The 3,757-nt window shown below is 34.8% G+C and overlaps 1 annotated feature.

Moving 5' to 3' along the window:
- Positions 2,622-3,125: an enhancer, noted in NCBI's record as "NANOG hESC enhancer chr7:80642207-80642710 (GRCh37/hg19 assembly coordinates)". NCBI's record gives its function as "activates a minimal SCP1, AML or CMV promoter by ChIP-STARR-seq in naive H9 embryonic stem cells {active_cell/tissue: H9 hESC(naive)}" and the evidence as "EXISTENCE:reporter gene assay evidence [ECO:0000049][PMID:30033119]".

Genomic DNA, 3,757 nt, shown 5'->3' with positions numbered 1-3,757 from the left:
ATTGTGAACATTTCCGTCAATTTTCTACATCTTTGTTTTCAATTGAGAGTTAGTTCCTAAATCACTTATTTTACCTGGAGCTGTACATGACATTTTTTTTTTTTTGGAGACGGAGTTTAACTCTTGTTGCCCAGGCTGGAGTGCAATGGTGCAATCTTGGCTCACTGCAAACTCCTCCTGGGAGTTCAAGTGATTCTCCTGCCTCAGCCTCCTGAGTAGCTGGGATTACAGGCATGCACGACCATGCCCAGATAATTTTGTATTTTTTAGTAGAGACGGGGTTTTTCCATGTTGGTCAGGCTGGTTTCAAACTCCCAACCTCAGGTGATCCACCTGCCTCAGCCTCCCAAAGTGCTGGGATTACAGGTGTGAGCCACCAAGCCCAGCCTAAAATGACAATTTTTAAAAATTTAATTATACTTTGTTATTATTAGATCAAATATTATCATAAAGAATAACTTTCCCTCCCTTATCATCCAAAGCTCTTTGGACAGTATGAATTATCAATCATAAGGAAAATTCAGACTAAATTCTTGATTATTTCATTTTAGTTGCTAATTTAAGGAACAGGTGTTGGTGCCAAATTTCTCCAGTGGTGTTGTTCAATGAATTTCTTGATTCCTTTACAATTCCTGCACCCCCAGCCCCACCTTGTTCTCTCTCTCATCTCCACCTCTTTCAATCTCTCATCACATAATAAACTCAGAACCCTATTTTAATGTTTTATATAATTCCCTTAATCATTCTTTCTTATGTTCAAATTATTCTCCTATATTTGAAAAATGTGAGCTATTTATGTTGGTTTCTGTGTCCTTTTACACAAAATAACAGAGTTTGACAGATGCTTGATTATTGACTCACTGAAATTCTCCAGGTTGATTTATATATTTTCTGCCACATGGCTGAAGTCCAGTATTCTTTGCAAAAGCTATAATTCCTTTTAATGAGGAATGGTATTTTAAGGTGATAATATAGATAAGTAGTGTCTATTCCTATTGGGTTGCCATTGCTTCCAGGCATTTGCAATGAACGAAACTGAAAAATAATAATTGCTGTATAATTATATGTTGCAATGTAAATATCCTTGTGCTCATTCTTAGAAGTTATGTTAATTGAGATAATCACATAATTAAATAACATTTAATAAATATACATGTGGAATCTCTATTTCTGGTGATAGAAAATGACTTGTCTAACCTAACCCATGCTGTAGTGGGACAGCAAAGATTTGATTTGGGGTTTTCTAATTCTCAGGTAGATTATTTCCATCCCAACTCTATATCCATAGGGGGTAAAACCATAAAATATTAGCAATAAATTACTGTTTGGCATATTATAATGTTCAGAATAAATAAATATATAGAAGTTGATATAAAACATTTACTTTAATGGAAGACAGAGAGTTCATAACCTCTGTAAAATAATTATTTGATTAAATAATGTCAAGTTATAAACGCAGTTGAATAAGAAATGGAATTGCTGAGTCAAAATTTTACTCTGTCTTGAGTGTGTAAGTCACTAATGAGTCAACAGTTTCCACAGCCGTCAATATGCAAACCATAATGGTGAATAACTTGTTACATCTGAAACTATAATCCTCTCTCCCTGACTCTCTGAATTGTTACTCTTTGTAGATTAGTGCTTTTGAGATTTATTTAGAATGTCTATAATGATACCAAAGCTTTTAATGTCTCTAAAATATGTAAAAATTTGTGACTAATTCCTCCTTTAGAGCATGAATACATGTATCCTTCATAATAAAATATAGCGATATGAAATTTTATATACTAGACATATTTTAGTTTTAAAAATTTTACTCCACAATTTCAAAATAAAATGTTCCTATTTGTAAATACGTAATGTTTTTGACACAATTAAAAAATTTGGATACAATAATTTTAGGAAAATGCAGACCTAATGCATGAGATACAAGCATAGATAAGTTCCCCTCTTATCATCTAAAGTATCTGAATATTAATCTCTATATTTGATTTAGTTATTTGGTTTATATTTAGTTTTACACTAGACCTAGTCCTGAAAAATTAATACATAAAATAAAGATCAAACATAGGTTTGATATGTTTTAATTCACATCTAAAATATAATCTCACCTGAAAATGATTTACAGGGTTTTAAAATCATTTCAATAAGTTCTTATTCACTATCTTAATTCTTTTTTGGCAAAATCCAACTGCCTATTAATGTCCCTTAGCAGAATAAAAGTGAAAAGTCTGTCCAATGGTAACAGTTCCTGAGCCCCATGGATCTGCAACTTTTCAACTTCTGGAATTCTCTTGCTGCCATTGAAGCTTTCACTACTCATCTGACCACAGCACAACCCTATTTCTTCCCTCTCCCCTAACTGGAAAACTAGTGAGAAATAATATTTCAGGTCTCCAATGGATTGCAAAGGAAATTCCTGTAGTCTGTGATCAGTATATTCTTTCCACTCTAAATACTAAGTGACTATATATTTATATGTTTTTGCCATTTTATATTCTAATATAATCTGTTCTCAGATTCAGAAAAACTGGGATTCCTTTCCATTCCAATTCTTTCAGAAATAAGAAATCTTCCACTGGCATAGTGCCTTTGGGTTGCCTATTTAAAGAATTTCACACATATTATAGCAAACATTTTTCATGTTTTTATGGCTTTTATTAAAGCTTATGCAATACTTGTTAAATCACTCAGATTCTGACACTCAAAACAACATGAAACTCTTGAGTCATCAAAACAAATTTACAGGGAATTTCTGAGGTGGCTGCAATAGAGTAGCTGACTAACACTCCCACTGAGAACAACTAGAAAAAAACAGATATAATTACAAAGAGGGAGAGGCTTCGTTTGAAGTCACTGGAAGAGTCGCTGAGGCTATCAGGACTTGAGGGGTCAAGATCCCTCAAAGAGGTCAATCACAAAAGGGTTACCTGACATTCTGTAAGCAGCTTTCATATTTAGATCATTTGCTGGAGAGAGAGATTGAGAAACAAGGCAGAAGCCAAAGCAAAAACACAAAAAGCTGAGAAACAAAATAGCTTTGGTAAACACATGAGGTATGTAGGGAAAATATGGTAGGATCAAGAGACAGAAATTAGTGTGAGGTATCTAGAACTTAAAAGGCAAAATCCAAGAGAGACAGAAGGAAAAAATGGGCTTACAGTTAGCAATACTTCTCTTTAATTTTTTAAATCTATACACAGAGAAAGAGTCTAAAAAAATTAAGAAGAAAAGTAGAGGCTGGGCACGGTGGCTCATGCCTGTAATCCCAGCACTTTGGGAGGCTGAGGCAGGTAGATCACAAGGTCAGGAGATCGAGACCATTCTGGCTAACACGGTGAAACCCTGTCTCTACTAAAAATACAAAAAATTAGCAAGGTGTGGTGGCGGGCACCTTTAGTCCTAGCTACTTGGGAGGCTGAGACAGCAGAATGGCGTAAACCCAGGAGGCGGAGGTTGCAGTGAGCTGAGACTGCGCCACTGCACTCCAGCCTGGGTGACAGAGTGAGATCCCGTCTCAAAACAAACAAACAAACAAAAAGGAAGGGACAGAAAAGAACCTAAGGAAAGTATGGGATGTTATGAAAAGAAAAAAATATATAGTATATGTGTAGAGTCCCAGAAACAGGAGAGAGAGCATAAGGCTAAAACAGTACTGAAAAGCTAATGTCTAAAAATTTTCCAAACTTGGCAAAAGCAGTTATGCTAAAGATCCAAAGATTGTATCCATAGCCTTAATTCAACTATATATAATGCA

This window comes from Homo sapiens, chromosome 7 (assembly GCF_000001405.40).
Source record: "Homo sapiens chromosome 7, GRCh38.p14 Primary Assembly".
NCBI lineage: Eukaryota > Metazoa > Chordata > Mammalia > Primates > Hominidae > Homo > Homo sapiens.
Note: the sequence above shows the minus strand (reverse complement) of the source record. Positions and strands in the feature narration are given on the sequence as shown.